The following is a 22,340-nucleotide window of genomic DNA, read 5'->3' on the forward strand; positions in this document are numbered from 1 at the left end:
CTCAATTTGTCATAAATTGAATAATTGGGAAAGTGTTTAACATATTTTAAAGGAAAAGAACATTTTAAACAAATTAGTAGCAAAACTAACATAAATATGCTAACAGCAAAGAACTCCTACCTGCTTATTAGGTGAGTTATTAAAATATTATTGCATGTGCTATCCCCAAGTTAGCACTTACAGAATTTGATAACATTAATATTCTACCTTAAAGTGCTATGCTTAGCACTTTGCAATTTATAACATGATGTAATCTAATAGTGATATTAATAGAAGTTAAAATTTGGTTAATGCTAAGTGCTTTACATGAAACATCATTAGATCCTCAACAGCACTTCATGAAGTATGTTTATCATTATCCCTAAATTATAAATGAGGAAACTACAGCTAAGAGAAGGTGAGAAACTTACTCATGTCTGCCAATTACAAATGTATAAACTCTTTAATTCAACAATCCCACTTCTGGGATATTTTCCTACTGATACTTGCAAATATGTAAAATTACTTATGTATAAGACCATTTACCTCCACGCTGTTTGTAATAGAAGAGACTGGGAACAGTATTGTGTTCATAAATAGGTTAAACAAATTATAATATATCCATATAGATATATCTCACAAGTGGAAAAAATAAAAACAATGAAGGAGCCTTCTATGTGCACATAGAGAATGGACTTCAGGATACATTTTTAAGCAAAAAAAGAAAAGTGCAATATGATGTATATAAAATGCCATCTTTTATGTAAAATATGAATTTCTATGTTTTGTCTTCAATTTCATAAATCTGGAATATACATAAGAAACTAAGAACAGTGGGTACCTATGGGTGCATGTCACAGGGAGGGGATGGCAGGGGGAACTAGGCAGATATATGATAAAGTTAAGACAAAGACGTGTCACTGTTTGAAATTTTTTAATAAATTATTGAGTTTTAACACATATGAGTGTATTCCCTGGCAAAATTTGCATGAAAAAGGAAAGGAAATAATAAATGGAGTGGGGAAAGTTAGGCAGGGTAAGCAGGAGAGAAATTCCCCAAAATGACACAGCCAGCAAGGACCACAGCCAGGTTTCAAACCCTGCAGGTCACCCTAAAGCCCTGCTTTCAAGTACTGTCGAATAGTGACTCTGAGTTCTCACAATAATTCCATGAGATAGCATAAAAGAACAAACAGAACCTGAAAAAAAGGTGTTCTCAAGATTACACAAACATTAAAACTGCAAATATTGTTTTCTTCCTACTACACCACAGCCACAATAATGAACATGACAATTATACTGTAAAAATATTACAAAATTTTGACTTGGTACTAATTCCAACTCACTTTCCCTCCAGTATGTTTATTTCACAGGTAATTGTAGAAGACCAAAAATAAGCAAGGGGGTTTTTAAAGGAAGTATTAAAGCAGACAGTCTGTGTGTTAGTTTCCTGTTGCTGCTGTAACAAATACCCCAACCTCAGTGGCTAAAGCAACACCAATCTATTATCTTACACTTCTGAAGTCCAACATAGATCTCAACAGGCTGAAATCAAGGTGTCAGCAGGGATGCATTTCTTTCTGGAGTCTTTGGAAGAGACTCTAAAGGGCTCTCAAGAAATCCCTTTCTTGTCTTTTTCATCTTCCAGAGTCTGCTCACATTGCTTGGTTCATGGTCCCTTCTTCCATCTGCATTGCCAGCAAGGGCAGGTCAAGTTATTCTCACATCATTCTGACCTGTTTTTATTTCCATATGCCTTTCTCTGATTCTCTCTTCGGCCTCCCTTTTCCATTTTTAAACCCCTGTGATGACATTGAGCCCTTCTAGTTAATTCAGGATAATTGCCTTATCTGAAGTCAGCTGATTAAAAACCTTAATTCCCCTTTGCCATGTAAGATAACATATTCATGGGTTGCAGGGATTAGCACATGGGCATCTTGGGACCATCAGTCAGGCTGCTACAGCCCCTTATGCAACTTGAAGGAGAGAAGCATGCCTGCATTGAGCCGTGTATTTTATGGGATGTTAGTGGATAATACCTAAAAGTAACAGTGTGTTCCCTTGTCAAGTATGTTTGGGGAAACTGGTTTAAACCAAAACCAGGTTGCTTTACTATAGGACTGCAAAATTGTTAATATGTTAATGTGCATGGTGAATCACCATTTTCTGAAAATATTTGATGTGGAATTCTCCTTAATAAATTTCAAAATACTGGCCCTTTCTAAAAATTTTAGAATAAAATGTTAAACATATATATTTTTTTCTTTTAATACTTGGCTGTATTTTCTTTGCTAAAGTTGTATTAGATGTTTGCATTTACATTTTTAAGTAAGGTTAGGTTATGGCTTTCTTTTAGGGTGTAATTTCTATTCGGTTTTGGTATTTTTTTCAAAGGAATTTGGAAGATTTGGCTTCTTGAAAATATTCTTGCATTATCTGGATAATTTAGGTGTTAGCTGCCCTTAAACGTTCAAAAAGAGTGCCCTATAAAACCATTCATCCATGGTATCATTTTTAAATTTTTATTCATTAATTATATATATATTTTACAACATATAATTTATACATATTAAAATTATTAGACTTCATTTTAGAGCAATTTTAGGTTTAGGGAAAAATTGAGGAGAAAGTACATTGAGTTCCCATAGGCCCCTTCACTCCCCAATACAATTTTCTCTATTATTAACATCTTGCATTACTGTGGTATATTTGTTTCAACTCAAGAGCCAATATTGATATATTATCATTAACTAAAGTTTGTGGTTCATATTAGGATTCATTCTTGGTGTTGTGCATTCTACTGGTTTTGTCAAATGTATTAATGATATGTACCCACCATTATAGTATCATACAGAATAGTTTCACTGCCCTAAAAATTCAGGGCTCCACCTCTTCATTCTCCCCTCCCCTCCCTCTGCACAAGACCCTGGCAAATGCTGATCTTTTGACTGTCCTCATAGTTGTGCCTTTTCCAGGTTGTCACATAGTTGTAATCATACAGTACATAGCCTTTTCAGATTGGCTTATTTCACTTAACAATACGCATTAATGTTCCTGCACATTTTTTTGTAGCTTGGTGGCTTATTTCGTTTTATTGCAAAGTAATATTGCATTGTATGGACTTCCCTTCATTTGTTTATTCATTCATTTATTGAAGGACATCTTGATCATTTCTGTGTTTTGACAGTTACAAATAAAGCTATACAGACACTAATGTATAGGTTTTTCTGTGGACATAAATTAATCTATTCATTTGGCTAAATATCCAAAACAGCAGTTGCCGATTGTATTGTAAGAACATGTTGAGTTTTGAAAAAACTGCCAAACTGTTTTCTAAAGTGGCTGCAGCATTTTGCATTCCCACCAGGAATGAATGAGAGCTTTTGTTGCTCCACATCCTCCTTATCATTTGTCAGTGTTTTAGATTCTAACCATTCTAATTTATAGATGAGTAGTGGTATCTCACTATTGTTTTAATTTGCAGGTCTGTAGTAAACTATAATGGTAAGCATCTGTTTGTATGCTCATTTGCTACCTGCATATCTTTTTTGGTGAGACATCTGTTCAGGTCTTTTGCTCATTTTTAAATTTGGCTGTTTTCTTATTGTTGAATCTTAAGAGTTCTTTATATTTTGGATACCAGTCCTTTATTAGATATGTTTTTTGCAACTATTTCCTCCCATTCTGTAGTTTGTCTTTTCATTCCCTTGACAGTGTGTTTGTAGAGCAATTTTTAATTTTAATGAAGTAAGTCCAACTTACCAATTTTTTTGATGGATCACAACTGATGGATCACAATGTTGTTTTATGGATCACTAAGAAATCAGTGCCAAACCCAAGGTCACCTAGATTTTTTGTTGTCTTCTAGGAGTTTTATAGTACTGTAGTTCACATTTAGGTCTATAATTTATTTGAAACTAATTTCTGCAAAAACTGTCAGATCTGTATCTAGATTCGTTTTTTTGCATGTGATGTTCAGTTGTTCCAACATCTTTTGTTGAAAAGACTATTATTTTTTCATTGAATTGCCTTTGCTCTTTTGTCAAAGATCAGTTGACTACCTTTGTGTAGATTTATTTCTGGGTACTCTATTTTGTTATATTAACATATTTGTCTCTGTTTTCACCAATACCACAGTGTCTTGACTACTCTAGCTTTATAGTATGCCTTGAAGTTGGGTAGTGTCAGACCTCAAATTTTGTTCTTCTTCAATATTTTTTGGCTATTCTGGGTCTTTTTTTAATAATCTGCTTGTTGACAACCATAAAATGATTTGCTGGTACTTTGGTTGGTACTGTATTGAATATATTGATTAATTTGGGAAGAACTGACATCTTGATGATGTTAAGTCTTCCTATTCATGTACATGCAATATATGTTCATTTATTTAAATATTCATTAATTTTTCATCAAAGTTTTGTCATTTTCTTCATATAGATCTTGTATATATTTTATTAGATTTATACCTAACTGTTTCATTTTCTTTTATAGTGCTAATGTAAATGGTATTGTGTTTTTAATTCAAATCCCAACTGTTCTTTGCTGGTATATAGGAAATCAGTTGACTTTTGTATAGTAGCCTTGTATCCTGCAACATTTCTATAATTGCTTAATAGCTCCAGGAGTTATTTATTTATTTATTTACTTATTTATTTATTCTTTTAAATTTTCTACATAGACAATCATGTCATCTGTGAACAAAGAAGGCTTTCTTTCTTTCTCCAAACCTTTATATATTTTATTTCCTTTTCTTGTCTTATTGCATTAGCTAGGGGTTCCAATATGATGCTGAATAAGAGTGGTGAAAGCAGACATTATTACTTTGTTCCTGATCTTAGAAGGATACCATCTATTTTCTCACCATTATGATGTTAGCTATTGATTTTTTTGTGGAACTCTTTATGAAGTTGAGGAACTTCCCCTTTATTCCTAGTTTACTGCGAGTTTTCATGATGAATGAGTGTTGGATTTTGTTAAATGATTTTTTTTCCACAACTACTTATTTGATTTAACTGATTGTATAATTTTTCTTCTTTAGCCTATTGATGTGATAGATTATATTCATTGACTATTGAATGTTGAACTAGACTTTTATACCTAGAATAAATCCCACTTGGCTATGTGTATAATTCTTTATATTGTTAAATATGATTGGCTAATATCTTGTTGAAGATTTTTGCTTCGATGTTTATGAGAGATATTGGTCTTTAGTTTCCTCTTTTCATAATGTTTTTGTCTAGTTTTGGTATTATGTTAATGCTGGTGTCATAGAATGAGTTAGGAAATATTCCTTCTGTTTTCTGGAAGAAACTGTAAAAACGTAGTAGCATTTCTTCCTTAACCATTTGAATTCACTAGTGAACATGCAGGTCTGGTGCTATCTGTTTTGGAAGGTTATTAATTATTGATTCAATTTGGTTATAGATATGGGCCTATTTAGATAGTCTATTTGTCTTTGTGTGAGTTTTGGTTACATCATTCACAAAGTTGGTTCATTTTCTCTAGGTTATCAAATTTACATACAGAGTTATTCATAATCCTGGTATCTTTTTAAATAGTAGATCTTTGACAAATATTTACATGTATTTTCTGGTTATTGAAATAGTATGGATGCTTCCTCGGTTTATCTTTGTTGAGCCAATTTTAACAATTTATCTCCTTAGGAAGTTATTATTTTGATCTACATTTTTAAATGTATTGGCATAATGTTGCACAAAATATTTCTTCTAGCTCATCTAATCTCTTAACATTTATATTTCCAGCTTCTGTTTTATTTTAAAAGTTGTAGTTCTCTTTCTTCTTGTCTCTTCTTTTAAAGACTTTCAAGGAAGAGGGGGTAATTTTAATGCTCTGAAGAAGTTTTTGGTTATTAATTGCATTTTGTTTTCTAATTTATTAAATTCAGCTGTTATTATCATTAGTTATATAATAATTATACTTGGATTGTTTTGGTGTTATCTTTAGTTTCATAAGTTAAATATTTAATTTATTTCAATTTTTTATATCTTTCTTGTTTAATAACCAAAATATCCACAATGAGGCTACATACTTTTGTAAATGATTTGTAACCTTGGGTTTGAGTTGTTGTAAGGTTTGTATGTTATAGGATTTCTTAAGATTTTCTTTATGGTAATATGATAAATATTGACAAATGTTTCCATAATAAAAAAGAATATGTATTTGCTATAGATTATTCAGTTTTGCATATATTTATTACATGTGCTGGTTAATAGTTTCCAATTCTTACTCTGCTTTCTCTTCACTTTCACTACATTTAAAGATCTAATTCTCTTCACTTTCTAGAAACACTTTTTAGAGATTTTTTACTTCAGAAGTCTAAACCCAGAGGATCCAGACATATGACCAATCACATTAGATTTTCAAAGTTTGTCCTAGCTGCCTTTCTCAGATGGAAGAATATGTGATTGTTCTGATGGCCACTGGCAGTTTCCTGCCAAGGGAACACAGACTGATTGTTTACTGTATAAACGAGTTGCTGGGACACACTGAATTTTCTGGGGTAGAATTTGATCTCCACACAATATAAACAGCAAAGCAGAGAAAAGGGAAAAAAATTATTTTCTTCTGTGTTTCCAAGGAATGAGATTTCAAAGGCGGCAATGTAGCCATCCCATGAAACAGCCAATAAACACTCAACAGCCAACATCTCATCTAGATTTGTTCTCTGTAATATCCTCATCAACCTACTACTCTGCATCCCACCATCATCTCTGGTCTGTCTCAAGGTCTAATTAATTCAGACCAGGGCCCATGTAAGAACTTCCTAACTGATGGTTCTGCTTTCTGTCTCTGTTCCTTCCTGTCATTTAACCCCAATAACCTATATTCCTAAAGCACTACTCTGAGAACAGCTTTCCCTTAAAATCTCCCTAAACAATGAAGCCAAAACTTCTTAGACACCAGATTTCCTTGAGAATAGGACCAGCCCTCCTTTCTAACCTTTTCAACCTACCCCTTTCCATTAACCCTCATGATATCCCAGTCATAAACTCATAAACTGCATACCCATTTTTTACTTTGTCATCACGAAACATTGTCAAGCTGAAAATCTTTTGTTTCCTACATTAAAAATTGGGATACCTAAAGTCATAGTTCCATAAGTACCTTGTGATGTACTAGGCATTGTAGTGAATGTTCTACATGTATTATCTTCACTTAATCTTCACAACATTTTGATGCGATAGGCATTGTTATTATCACTGGCCATTTAACACACAAGGGCATGGACACTTAGAGCAGTCAAGTCTGAATCCAATGCATACTTGGTTAAGTGTTACGCTGTACTCTTCCTTAATTACCCTGCCAGGACCAAGAGAATCCTTGCAGTCTAGACTAATGACTCACATAAAGTAGGCACTCATTATATAGTGAATAAATGGTTGAATGACTGAGGAAATGTGAAAAGACATCTTAAAATGCTTTAGAAATGGTAAATTACTATGCAAATATTATATGTCATCCACAAAATCACTATTATTAAGCTGCTTTTATGATGAAAGTTGATACCTTTTTTCATTTATTTCTATGCCTTGTATTAATATTTGCTAAGTGAAAACATTGATCTAGGTTTTTGTCAATTGTTTTTCCTCTAAAGCCAAGCAGAAACTTCATCTTCCATCATGTGAACACCTTGTCCAATTGGCAAATATTGACAGTAAGAAAACATCATGTTGAAATTAGCCTTCTATTCTTGTATATTATTGAAAAATCAGAAGTACAAGACCATAGGCTGTAGAGGAGCTGTGTGCACCCACCTGTGTGTGTGTGTGTGTGTGTGTGTGTGTACGTTTGCCCAACATTTTCAAACATTTAGTTTTACTACATTTACTCTTTCTGACCCGGTACAATCTCAAACTGCATACAAGCAGCAGATGTCAGTGTTGTGCAACTTTCAGGCTGACTGCTTGCAGAGGCAAGCTGTTCTTTGTCGCCTAGAGACAGAATCAACAGTCATTTGTACCCACAAACAAACACCCTTAGGTGCTAGGTAAATCGTAGAGGTCCCCCATAAAGAAACTGTAATTTGAGAAATTACACAGCAACTTATAAAGATGTAGTTGTGATTCAAAGGTTGCAATGGATGGGCACAGCATAAATAGTGGAACCTATCGTGTTTTGCTGGCCGAGAAGGAGATAGGGACACCCAGAAAGCACTGGTTTGGCTCCTTTGTCACAACTGCTGTGAGCCAAAGCAAAGGAAGGTCAGACTAAATCGGCCTCGTTTGATGAAAGAACAGTGTTTTCTATTTGCAACCCATGTGGTCAGATGGCCAAACTCCTAATATGTCCTCAAAGCCCAACATAATCTGGTTTCTGACTGCTTCTATAGCTTTCTTGGGAGCCACTCTTTCTCCTTTTTCTCTGCTGCAGCCACTGCATTCTTCCCAGCTCACAGGCTCTGCTTGTAATGCTCTTGCCACATGCCCCTGTCTCTCCTTTAGTGTCTACTCTTCAGATCTCAGCTCAAATGTCCCTTTATCCTGAAAGGTCAGGCTCCATACATCAGGTCTTTCTTTTATGGTCTCATAGTACCCTTTAATGCCCCTCCATAGACTTATCACAATTTTCAATTATATATGTGTCTGATTCTTTAATTAGTATCTGTGTACCCAGCTCCAATAAAAGTGCCAATTCCATAAAGGTAGATTATGTGGCTGTTTTGCCCATTACTGTTTCCCTAGTACCTAGCATGGTACACGGCATATGGAAGATTCTCAACATATAAATGTTAAATAAAAAAAATGTTAAGAGGATGAATGAATGGATAAATAAGTAAATTGGTGAATGAACAAATACGTGAATTGATTCCATCTACTCTTCCACTGAATAGACATCCATGTACCAGTGAGCGAATACAAGGTAGGCTGGCTTAAGAAGAGGAGAGTATCTCAAATACCTGGATATAGAGTGATCACTGTTGTTCCAGGATTCTGAGAATAACTCAGCAGGTTGAGAGACTGACCTGCACAAATGGATTCTGACTTGGGCCTACATTCTGGTGGCAGAGTTCGAGTTCTCCCCTGCAGCAATGAATTTCTGTCTAGCACTTCTGAATGCAACCATCACATACTGGTCTCCTATCAGTAAAGAAAGGGGATCAGGTTGCAAATATGTGAGGAATACAGGCCTTTCTTCAGAATCGTGTATTTGGGATGTATCATGTGACAGAGAAGAGCTTATAGACAAAGATAAAGAGAGATAAATGGGTTGATTTTTTTCTTCTAGGGTATACACCCAAAGGGGAGAATAATCTAGCTATTTTTCCTTCTTCCACAAGATGGGGCAATCGGAATGAATTTAACTACAAAGGCGGACTCACCAGTAAATGTCTTTTCCATGTTAAACAGCCCTATTCGGTCAGACCAGAAAAATGCAGCTGGTTTTGAACTTGTTTATGCAACTGTGTAGCATTTCCTGAAAATGGTAGACCTGGGGTAGACAACAGTTAGGCTGGAGGGGAAAGCCTAGGGCACTTGCCCACTCTATATTGGAGTCAAAGGGTGCTGCCCAGCTTCCAGAACCCCCAGCATTCCAGCCCCAGGGAGTTGCAAGGGTCTCTGGCTCAGAAACAGCTGCTGCAAAATTGAGCAAATTTACCATTCAGAAACATTTTCTTACATTAGAAGGAAATTCTAGATGAGATATAATGATGTCTACTTTGAAATAAATTATTGTAATATAATCAATCACAGTGTACAAATTCTAATTCTTAATATTAGTCTGCTGCTTACAGTCTGCAAGATGATTTCATTCAGTGGAATATTCCACAATGCATTAAATCAGGCCGCACATAAAATAATTATGACACTAGAGTTTTATTATTCTACCTATGACCTATGTGCACATAACCCTTCTTGCTTCTTCCTGGTTATAGGTCTATTACTAGATCATTATAAATTTTTCTTTGGAAAGAAATTAGTGGAAATGGGCTTGACAACAATTTCTAGATTAAATTAGCACTGTTCAGAAAGATAATTAATATTGGTATGGTACTTTTTTGATCATTGTCTCATTTGATTTTCCCGACAATCTGTAGGCTAAATATTACTTTCATCATCACTCTTTCACAAATATATGACATGGGATATTTACTTATTCAAGTGTCAATATGGGATATTTATTTACTTAAGTAGGCACAGCAGGTAAAACCTGGAGATAGCCATGAACATGGCCTTCAGGTTCCAGTTCTGACAGGTCATGGAAGAGAGTAGGGAAAAGAGAGAAATTAGAGAAGGGAACTAGCACATGCTTTTATGAGGGCTAAATACACATTGTATAAGGTAGGAAACCCAGCCAAAGTGGCTTAAACCTCAAAAATAATGGATTGGCTCCCATAATAGAAAAATCCAGAAGTTCTAGTTCCAAAAGATGTCATCATGGATCTAGTCCTTGAGGACAGCTAGTTTCACCTGATATTTTCAGTTCATCCAGGTTATTTCCTTGTGGTAACAAAATAATCTAAGCAGGTTCGTGTCTCATAGGGTCCCACTGAACCACATTGTTCTGGGGAAAAGAGTGTCTCTTCCTGAAGTTCTCTCACCTGTGACTCACCCTGTCATTGGCTCAAACGGGGTTAAAGGTCCATTCCTGAACCAATCTCAGCTGGGAAGATAGGCATGACTTATCGTCTTAACCCAATCAGAATTCCTACGCTGAAGCCAATTGCACTCAAACTTTCCTTGCTAACAGTGGGAGAGCTGTACATTATACAAAAAGAAAGCCAGGAGAAGGAGAAAATGGAGAAATCATAAAATATATCTACATTTTTTGGAGTTTAACAAATTAGAAAACATTGTCTCTTTTAATATATAAAAATTTATAAGAGTACTAGAACAATCCTGGTTGATACACAATTATTTTTTAAAAGCAATAAACCATTGTAAAATGTTCTGAAGAAGGCCTTAAGCATTAGCTTTAGAAAACTTAAAAACTAAATTTATAGATATTACACTAGCAACACCTGATGCCTAAAAAGCAGAGGATTGCTCAGTAACCCTGGAGAATTCAGACATTTAGAGCAGGCAAGTGTTAAGAGGTGGGAAAAAATACCAAAAACAAAAACATCCACTTAGGTTGAAAACTTGCTAGGTCCTTTATATAAACATCTTCAAGAAGTACTATCCAATGAAACCTCCAAGGGCACTCTGTCTCCTCAACCACTAATTTTTTCAAGCACCTCTGTCCTCATTACTACAAGCGTTTGGAGTGATAAGACCTCCCTATCTCACAGGGTTTTGTGACAAATAAAGGCAAGAATGTGCATAAAAGGCTTTGTTAATGTAAATGCTCACAAATGTAAGAATTATATTGATGAGAATTTTATGTATAGTTTTTAAGATGCTGTAGAAAAAAAAGACATACCTACCAAAAAACAGGTTCTACATTGACCTTAACAAAATAAATGGATGTCAGTTACATATAGCTCGCTTGCACCAACCTCCCATTTTCCCACTTCATCAATCTCAACTCTCTCAGATCTTCGCCTAATGCACTCCACATAGTACACTCTGAACTTTTTGCACAACCCAGATGGTATACATGGATCCATATGCCTGTTTTCAAGATTGGCTAATTGGCCTCATTTGCACAATAAACTATTAAGAACTCTCTAATAAAAGTCGACAATGTTGCCACACTTTGTTAAAGAGCTAAAGGTTCTGAAATGCAATGCCTATCATCACTTTATAAAAGAGCTGAATTTGAGAGAAAAAGCTCTTACAAACCCTTATTGAAGGAGAATTTTCCCAATGGACACAGTCTTAGGAACAGTTGGGACCAGGGACTCCAATGCCACCAGGATTCTCTCTTTTTCCCAACTCTGCTTCTCTGTTTGCTGGCTTCATTCTTTCCATGCAAACCAGCTTTCACAACATAGTGAAAAACATGGCTGTCTAAGCTTCCATGGCTATAAACTTCTATCTCCTATTTCCAATTTGAAAAATTCCAGGAAGAGATTGGCATACATTGGGTTGGATGTCCAGCCCTTTATCAATCAATCATGTCCAGGGTATAAGGTCTGATAAATGCATTGTAACTGTAAACAAATATTTGTAGTTGGGAATGTAAGAGCTCCCCACCAAAAAGAGGGCCTATTTTTACAAAATAAATGAATAGTTTGTCCTGGTAGTGGTTGTCCTGGGTAGGCAAAAGATTAGTGTCCACATAAAAAGGCAGAGTTAGTAAAGACATGAGTCTGCCCCTGTAAAACAGTACCAGTCAAACATTTCCCCAGGTCCGAGATTTGTTTACTCTATAATAAGAAGAATAAACCTGCCCATTCCACCAAACTGTGGCAACAATCGCCTGAAACGTGAGTGCATAGTAACTTCAAAAATATTACAAAATTTCAAGGTATGACTGTTGCTATTACTATCTATATAGGTTACTAAATTTCCCATTTTTCACACTGATGCCTGGAGTCAGACTGACACAGCAAGTAGTTTGAATAAACTGAAGCTCATCTAACATCACAGGCTGTGAGTACACTCCTTCTCAAGCCATATTGCCGTCCAGCTGTGTGTGGTTATTATGCCAAGTTCATCAAGAGATATTTGAGCTTCTCAGGGAGCAGGAGGAGGGGAAGACAGAATGAGACTCAGATGGAAGGAAATAACTCAACCAAAAAACCTCTGATTAGTCTACTTCCTAGAGAACTTCCTTCTACTTTCCAAACTCTTAGTCACTGTTCTATCTTCCAGACAATTATCAGCTAATTAATTTCCATGCGGACAAAGATCGCTGTTTAATAGGTCAGCAGTGTATCACCTTGAAGTGAAAATCAGCAAAGGAAAGAAGGGTAAATGATAAAAGGCATCAATAGTATGATGTCTGTCCTAAGTCAACACTGGGAATAGGGATTCAGTCACTGGGCACCAACTTCACTGCTAATGAATGATGAGTGACTGACTATAATACTAAGGCTTGTTATTTCTGTGCTACCCTTCCCTTTACATAATATCAAAGGGAAAGTCCCCAAATAATGACAAAACACACCACTTATATTGCACACTATAATTTCCTAGGCATGTTCCCATATGCCATTTATCGAAAATGGTGTACTTACAGTCTATTAGAAACATTGCTGAACTTGGGAGCCTTAAGTACTTGCCACTTAACCAGTTTGGTGGCCTTGGGAAAAGTCTTGACTTCCATTTCTTCATTTGTAAATTGGGGATAAGAGTATGTTTTTCAACATCTTAGCATGAGGCTTGACTGCAAGGATTTATAAGTTATCTGTAAAGTGTGACATAAATATGAAGAGTTTTTCATAAGGCCTAGTGAAAATCTCAGCAAAGGACGCAATGAAAATAAAGAAAACCTATGTTTGAACTTAATAAAACTCGGATTCAAACGATGCCAAGGAGTTGACCCGAAGTCACCCACAGGTAGCTGAAAGGTACAAGTCTTCCAGTTCCAAGCCCTCTTTCCTATACTGCCTCACCGATGATCCACCAGGGGTGAACGTCAATATCTTTCCTCTGAAAATATATGTTTTATTCTATTATGTAAGCTGGGAAAAGAAAATGTAACTGAAGACATAGAATGAGTCATCCAGCAATTAGTTACCCTACATAATGCCACTGATAATACATAGAACAATGGCTGTATTGCTTCAGCACACAATCTGTCTCAAGCACCAGACTAAGGAATTTACATGCATTAAATCATTTAATCCTCAGAATTAGCCTATAAGGTAGGTATGATTAATGTCCCCATCTTGCAGATGAGGAAGGTGAGGCACACGGGAATTAAGTATCCTGCCCCAAGTCACTTAGTGAGTGGCAGAGTGAGTATTCAACACAGACAAATTAGCTTCTGTGTCTGTAATCCTACCATTATGCTAGGCCATCTCCCAAGGACACCAAGCCTAGTGCACCATCTGATTCTACCTTTTAAAAACTCAAACAAGAGAAAGATGGATTTTATCCAGAGTTTTGAGCTGTATCTCATGTATTTCCAGAGGTTTTCCCACCAGTTTCTGGCTTCATACTGTCCAGCATTGATCTCAAATATCCATCTTATCAGCATTGATCTCAGGGGTTTAAAATCATTTTGAAGGTGATAAAGTGAAGCACTTGTCCTTCTGGACAGCCCACCTCCTGTCTTGCTTTGTTAGTTTTAGTAAATGTGTGTTCAGGCAAAGTCAAAGGCCCCGAACAGAGACTCACCAGGCTCAGCACCATCCTTGCCTTTCCCATGTGGGAAGAATGCTTCTCCAGAAACAAGGTTGGCCTCGGAAGTTGGCTGTTGCCCAAATGGCAGGAGAGAGCGGCATAAGGGAGTCACACTGAAAGTGATTTTAAATTACACAAATTCAGCAAATACAGAAAGAGAAAGAAAATTTAAATCAATGATACTAGACCGTGCTATACATTAGAATCACCTGACAAAGCTTAAAAAACAACTATCAAAACTTGGCCCACTCTGGAACAGCTAAACTAGAATGCTTGAGGACAGCACCTTGCTTTAAATCCTGCAGGCATTTTCTACACTTGGCTGGTGAACTTGAGATGGGAACAACGCTCCCTTTGGTCTCAGTTCCCAGGGGCCTTTCACAGTATGACCATCTCGCTGCACTGAGTGTAATTCATAATACAGTGTAAAATTGTATTTAGCATATTAAATTATTATATGCTAAACATTACCGAATATATTATACATTTATAAATATATTTAGGTATATTAATTTTTTGTTTTGTTTTGATTTGTTTTTTTGTACCAGGACATCAGTGAGTACAGGCTTAAACTCAGAAGTTGCAATAGGCTTTGCTACTGTTATCAATTTAGCTGAAGGACAAATAGAGGAAATGTACCTAGCACACCATCTTAAGCTAAGTGGGAGGCTAGGCAACCACCTAAATACACATCTTTTTTTGTCCCCTCATCTATTCAGGACAAGTATAGCTACTGCACATGAGTACCAATGTGAGTTCACCATCTTTATATGGAGAACCTGCAGCCTCAGTTTGCTGCCAGTCTTTAGCCTTTCTGGTCTCATGAGTCATCCCCAAACTCATTGTTGTCCCTTTCCAGGAATAGTGTCACAGATGGGAGTTAAACAGCACACAGGTAGACATACCAACTCTGTAGTTTCAAAGAGCTGGTACTGTAAGAAGACCTGGTAGCTTTTGACTCAGTTCTATCTCTATCTCTATTTTTATCTATCTCTATTTATCTCTAAATCTATCTATCATCTATCTATCTATCATCTATCTATCTATCTATCATCTATCTATCTATCATCTCTATCATTTATCTATCTATGAAGAGAGATATTACCAAGCAAGTAGGCTGTGAATACCTCTGTATTTGCAATATTTTGAAGAGTACTAGCTGCTGTGAAACCTAATCTCTAAGGGAGTTGCAATTTTGCAATTAAAATTAAAAATTTAATTCTGCCAGTTAGTTCTACTGAGATTCTATCAGTAAATTTAGCCTTCAGCCTGGCCGACGAGAGGTTCTGATTTAATTGGGCAATAGCAAGATAATTTAAAGATGCATGAAGCACTGTAATGCTTCTCTGGGGAGCACATGCGATTGCTTACTTCTTTGTGCCCATTACACAGAGGCATTCGGAAAAGACCGGTCAGAGTTTAAGAGAAAGGTGGTGCTGCAGCAGATTAAGCACTACCAGCACCGACCTGACTAGGGGCTTTGCTGGCCCTGTCATTAAGGAGCAAGACCTACACCTGGGCTCCTGAGGCTTCCTGGCCAGGAAGATTCCTAAGACTCCTGCCCTGGGTTTTGAAGGCCCCAGCCAGCCCTAGGTTCTTACTTGTCAAAGGGCACACATAAGGATCTCAGTCCTTCACACTTGGCGGTTACTGTGGCTGTGTGTCTCGAAGATGGTCCCTGCTCGCCGCTGGGCAAGAGGCCCTTCCTAAACGTCAGTTGTCAACATGAAACCAGTTTTGTTATGGGCAAAATGGTGTTTCCTTCTCCCAGTACCAGCACTTTGCTAAACCATATGTCCACAGGCCACACAAGTCTTATTTATTTATTTGTTTATCTTTCCAGAAATGAACTCAATGGTTCTGCTGAGACTCAAAGGCCAAAAAAAAAAAAAAAAAAAAAAAAATTATAAAAGCTGTAGAGTACAAATAGTCCTGTTTTAAAAGCAGGGGGGTGGGGCCCCGCCTGGAGAACAAAGCCCTACTTTGAAGACTTAGCGATTCTAATTTGGAGCCATTTCCCACTCCCAATTCCAAATCTGCATCATTAAACCATGAAAGAGTGAAGAGTAATAATTGTGAGCACGCTGAGTATTTCTTAATGATTTTCTGTCTTATACCCAAAGCAAATAAGCCAAATGCTTACTCAAAGCCTAGAGGGGGAGTAGGGTGGGACTTGGTTTTGCAATTTCTTTTTTTTTTTCTATAGTCTTTCTTCTTCCACTGAAAGTGTCTATAAAATTTTTAAAGGAAAGTAGGTTGCTAAAATGTACTTAATTTGCCATGATAGATTGAGTCCATGCTTCAGTGACTGTAATTGAATCTGTGACCTATTTCTTTAGTAAAGTAGAAATAGTCTCTGGGGTTTTTGTCACTACCATCTTTTAATGAAATTCAAAAAGACTGTCAAAATGTCTACACTTTTTCTACTGGTTGTTAATGTTATTACTTTACAATTTGTTACTTTTTAATTAATCTTAATAAATGTGTACACACTCTACCTGGTCATTGGAAATGCTAGACATTGATTCTTCACTCTTTTAAAGCCAAGCAAAATTAACAGGACAGAAAAGGCCCGGCAGCCAGGAAAGGTCTTCATATATATTTGGTTGCGCTTTTAAAAATATTTTGAGGCATCAGTTTAAGGATCTGCCTCCAAGAAGAGGGGGTTGTGGAGAGTCAACAGCAAAAGGCTGAGGGGCTCTGCCTGTGGCTGTCCTCTTGATGCCACCACTAACTGCTCCCACTTTGCTTAAGGGCTGCATATGTGGCAAGCCGACAGCCTGGGGGAGCAATATTTTATTGACAAAATGTAAGAGAAAATATGTTCGGCTGCTTTTAAGCAGTGGTGTAGGAGGGTGTTACAGAACCAGATGGTCTAAGTTAGTCTTTCATTTGCCAGGATGATGGGAAAGCACTGCCTTGCTCTGCAACTGAAATGGTGGTGGCCGCTTTGCCAATGGACGGTTGGCTGTGATTTCCAGGGACAGTTGTTCTTCCAGAAGCAAAGTGCCCAAGGCTCTGGGTGAGCTCTGAAATTCATCTCCTACGGTGTCTGGGGTGGGAGTGGGGAGAATGCCTTCAGGTCTTTGCCATGATGGTGTTAAAAGGGAAGTTTTGCAGCAGTTCTCAAACGTGGCCCCAGATCACAGCATCACTTAAACTATTAAATCTGAAATCTGGGGATGGGGCCCAGCAATCGGTGGCCCAGCAATAGTTCTGTTGATGACTCTTTTGTGAACCATTAGATTAGAGAAAGGAATTAAGGTGGCTGGAGCCTGGAAGTGGGGGTAATGGATGGAAGATGAGTCACATTAGGGTCAGATTGTGAACTATCAGGAGTGCTCATGTTACCTAACTATACTCAGGACTTTGCTATCTCTTTGCCTGTGATATTCCTTTGGCTAGAAAGCATCATCTCCCACTTCCTGTTTACCTCTTCCCTATCTCTATTTTTCAAAATGTTAGCCATTTTCCAGTGGCATTTGGAGTGTCTCTTACCCTGTAGACTTTTCTGACTACTTCAAGAGCATTTGGGCTGTCTCTTCACTGAAACCCCAAGGCTGTGACTTTTCTTGCAGCACCTAGATTTTGCTTTGTTTCTCTAGAAAACAAATCTTTTGAGGGCAGGTGGTCTGCCTGGTCATTAGTGGATGCTCATAATGCCTATTATGATGCAAGCAACACAAGAGATGTTAAAATGACTTTTGAAACATAGAGATTTTTATTCAGTTGAATATGTAGACAACCACCAGCTAATCTCTATTGGCTTGGTAAGTACTCCAGTTCTCCCCTTTGTCTGGTAATCAAAGTAGACTTCCACTCATGAACCAATGAATGGATCACATGGTCAGAAGGTTCTAGAAACACAATGGTTCAGTTTGACACACACTTACTGAGTAGGCTGCCAAGTCTAGTGCTAAGTGCTTGGAGATAAACAAAATACAGTCCTTGTCTTTGTAAAGCACACATTTCTAATGGAAAAAGAACACATAATCAGATCATTTCAATGTCCTATGATAAGCAGAGAGCTACGCACAAAGACTGATGTGAGCACAAAGCATGACCTCCCTCAGATACCACTCTGGAATTACAAACAAAGGTTTACTGTAAAAAAAAAAAGTATGAGTTAAATCTTGAAGAATGAGGAAGAATAGCAAGGAAAAGAGAGTATAGAAGGAAGTTCTAATAAAGAGAACAGCACAAAGGCATGGAGGTGTAAACAGTGTCTTTGTAAGAGGGGGAGGGCCTTATGAATGGTGTGTACTCTGGCATTGGTAGACCATAAATTTCTAGTTGGAGACTAGCAGAAGGCTATGTTGCAGAGCAGGGAACCAGTCATAGAGGGTGTTGTAGTCCATGCTAGGAAATTTGGAATTTATTCTGGAAGACTTAGAGAATAACAGGAGTAGTGGTTAGATTTGCATTTTAAATAGATCATTCTGGCTCCAGAGGGAGGAAGGGTTCAAGGGGATGAGGCTGGATGGTGACAAGAGAGGACAAGATGAGCCCTGGGCATTTGCAGATTTCCCCAGGGACACAAAGTAGCATTCACTCTCAAATCAATGACAACAATGAGTTCTTTCTCATTAGGAGGAAAACCTAAACAGAGTACAAGTCTGAGTGAGACGCGGCAGGCCTTGCTCCTGGTAAATAGAAGGATAGCCAGGCTGGTTTGGATAAGAATAAGCTCATCTTGTATGAGTGGCCACTCTGCCCCACCTCATTTGATTAACAAGAATTTCCAGCCTGTGGACTTGAACCTAACAGACCATGATGGCTTGAACAGGCATTCATCAATCACTATATCTCCCCAAACCTCCAGACAGACTGACTTGGAGTGATAACAATTCCCTCTCTCATTCTTGCCATCTACACATTTATAATTTCCTAGTACATTTCACTTGATCAGCCAAATAGCCATTTTTTTACATACTTTCCTATAGCAAATGCTGGAAAGAAAAAGAGGTGTTTTCACCTGCCTGTTCTTCATAACTACATGCAATAATAATCACAGCACTGGCATTGCTGCTGAGTAATTTAAAGTCCCAAAGGCAGTTTGTTCCCATAATCAGGCCCCTGAGGTCCTAGGTGTGTGGAGAGAGAAAAGAAAAATCCTGAAGAATCTCATCACTCAATGGAAAACTAACATTTAAAATGTTTCTTATAGGATTTTGTGGTTTAGAAAATACTCATCACCTGCATTGTCCTAATGATTTATGATGAGTGGGATCATAATTTGTGAGTGCTGGTGTCCTCTGCAGGAACACAGGCTTAACATCTTGTTCAAGGGTACCAGTTGGTAAGCTCCAGAATTTAAACCTAGGACATGGATTCTACTGCCTTACTCTGCTCTTCACGTCACACTGGAGCAGAATAACTTGACTCAGGATGGTTGGAGAAAGAGAGGTGGAAGAAGGCTGAGAAAAATAGTGAAGATGGAAGACTTTGTTTTGGGATCTTTCAGAATCTCTACTCTCAAGTGGTCCATTTTCTTGGACTACTATCCAGAGATAAGATGAGAATAAAGAGACAAAAAAATTGACTTCCTATTTAATCAGTGAGAAACCCCACTACCTATTCAAATTCTAGTTTAGCTTCAAGACCTAGCACAGACTCGTAAACCTTCTTTCACTATTAGAGCTTTCAGTCACTTACTTTTCCTTAGAACCTATGGAAAGAGATGGCAGACAATCCAGCATTTAATGACATCCTGCCACTTGCTGTTTACTGTTAGCTGTGCTTCATCAACAATACTAAAACCTCTGCTATACAGAAAAATAAATCCACCAGAGTGGTTGAGTCTTCCAGATAACTGATGGTTTTCTTTCTTAGGCCCGAGCATTTTTAAAAGTGCAAATATTTTGGCAGGAAGCACATTTATGGTATATCTTATACGTCTCTGTCTTTTTAAACATGTTATGCTAAGCATGTTTTTGCCATCCATTATTGCACTGTGCCTTATTACTGGGTATCCCTGTACTTAATGCCCTGATAGTCTGAAGTGTATTGTCTTTTATCTATTTGTTTTTCAAATCTCCTCTTACTGGGGAGGCTTTCAGCCATTACTGTGCCTCCAATGGGAATCTTATTTTTTTTTTCCTTCACTCTGACACGATCTCAGCTCACTGCAAACTCTGCCTCCTGTATTCAAGTGACTCTCCTGCCTCAGCCTCCTGAATAGATGGGATTACAGGAGCATGCCACCATGCCGGGCTAATTTTGTATTTTTAGTAGAAATGGGGTTTCACCATGTTGGCCAGGCTGGTCTCAAACGCCTAAGCCCAAGTGATCCACCTTCCTAGGCCTTCCAAAGTTTTGGGATTACAAGTGTGAGCCTTCGTGCCCAGCCTCTAATGGGAACCTTCTCTCACCTTCCAACTCACTGCTCCTAAAGCATCATGAACTGGGAAATCGGAAAGTCATGATTGTTAAACACATGGGCAAAGTATGAGTAAACAGGTCTCCAGTCAGGGCCAGAGGAACAATTTCCATTATTTGGGATGATCAAAGGTTTGATCAAAGATTCATATCTCTTAACTATTTTTAGTTGGAGAAATTTCCTGAATAGCTGAGCTCTGAATAGGGGAAATGTTTCTGGCGGTAAAATTCATCAGGTAATGTTTTTACAGTATCCAACTCAGTGCCGAGGGCACAGCAGACACTAAACAAGGGCACAGCAGACACTGAACAAGTTACTTGGTGACTACAGTGTCCTCAACTGCAAAAAGTGTCCAATAATGACCAATAGAGTATTTGCATCACCTGCTATTTTGATTGCCCTCAAGATTTCAGGCAGCATCATTTTGATATGGTATCTTTGTAAGCAAACTTAAATTCTCTTTGGAACATGAGTACGTGTAAGCAAAATGATGTGGTCCAACTAACTTTGAATAAATAGTGCTGCAACATCCAAAGACACAATGGATTGAGTAACCTCTAAATCAACTGCCCTTATAAATGAAGATAGTCAGTGTTAAACTTAAAAAAATCTGAATGAATATGCATATTATACTTAAGATTGTTCTGGTTAATGTAAAGAACAACTGAGGAAAAGAATGAAACTGAAAAAAGAAAATGACATCCAAACCTTTCTTCAGACAGACAACCTCTGTGTCAGTTTTCAGGGTTCGTCATACTGTTTAATTTCAAATCTTTATGGAGAGGATATGGGGGGAATATCAATAAATGGCTCAAGAATAATTTTTCTTGTTCTGTTTTACTTTATTACATCATTGTATCAAGCGTAGGGTATCAGTGAGTTTTGGAAATTATGCCACCCAGACAAACCAGTGCAGTGATGACGATGGAGATTTCTGGCTCCTGTAGTCTTTGCCCACCCTCCTCTGAACCTGCTTTTTAGAATTTTAGAAGAATTGAGAGGAACTCTAGAAACTACAGCTTTGACCATTCAAAGGCTATCATCTGGGAAGTTTTAATGGCTACATGGCTAGACTATCATATTTTTGCCCCAAGCTACTAATTGAGTCTCAAAGGTAGCATTCAGCATCCTTTCCTACCGAGATCTCATTATGCACGTGTAATGTGAGTAAACAATGAGATTCTATTAAATTACTTTCCTCCCCTTAAATTAGCCTTAATACAGAAAGGGAGGAGACAGTGTGCTTATTCTTACAGAGATCAAGTAATTAATTTTGTAGGTTCTATGAAATATTGAAGGAAATCATGCAAATGAATTTGCAAACAATTAGAGCAGAAACTACTCAAATATGTGTATTTATGGAAAAAAGATATAAAGTGAATACAGATCAGTTCATTAGTCTCATGGAGTTTCTTCATCATGGTAAGAGTGTTGTACATGTGACTAAAGTGCTAAATAAAATTTTAGATAGATGTTTATTAATTGCTAGATGTTGACTTTTACTTTTAAAATCACTTTCAGAAATTCTAACATTGTGTTCGGTTACCATTTTAGTCCAATCTCATACCTAGAAGAAATTGTGTTCATAACCATAATACGCTCCCCTCCTTTATTTATATAGAATTTCAGGGTTTTCAACTTACTTCATAATCCAGGGACATTACAAGCACCTCAGTTAGAAATGCTATATTTTTGCAAAGCAAAGCTTGAAACAAAAATATTTTGTGGTTAAACATTCATTAACTAGAAAATGTAACCCACACAAAAAGCACAAACCCAGAGCATAT

The 22,340-nt window shown here is 37.2% G+C and overlaps 1 long non-coding RNA gene across 9 annotated transcripts in view; it reads right to left on the reverse strand.

Moving 5' to 3' along the window:
- LINC02911 (long intergenic non-protein coding RNA 2911) overlaps positions 1-17,793 on the reverse strand; it is a 73,031-nt gene extending 55,238 nt beyond the window's left edge. For 6 of the 9 annotated variants that reach the window (XR_004837540.2, XR_007065211.1, XR_007065210.1 and 3 more), the window contains exons 1-3: positions 17,673-17,793; positions 14,169-14,287; positions 13,064-13,233 (exon numbers count right to left, since the gene is read on the reverse strand). This is a non-coding gene — a long non-coding RNA (long intergenic non-protein coding RNA 2911). Of the gene's footprint in view, positions 1-13,063; positions 13,234-14,168; positions 14,288-16,672; positions 16,739-17,672 lie in introns of those variants that run through there. The other 3 variants (XR_007065207.1, XR_004837539.2, XR_004837541.2) reach the window with 2 other exon arrangements.
- Positions 17,794-22,340: the final 4,547 nt, after the last annotated feature.

The sequence above is a fragment of the Homo sapiens genome, chromosome 16 (assembly GCF_000001405.40).
Source record: "Homo sapiens chromosome 16, GRCh38.p14 Primary Assembly".
NCBI lineage: Eukaryota > Metazoa > Chordata > Mammalia > Primates > Hominidae > Homo > Homo sapiens.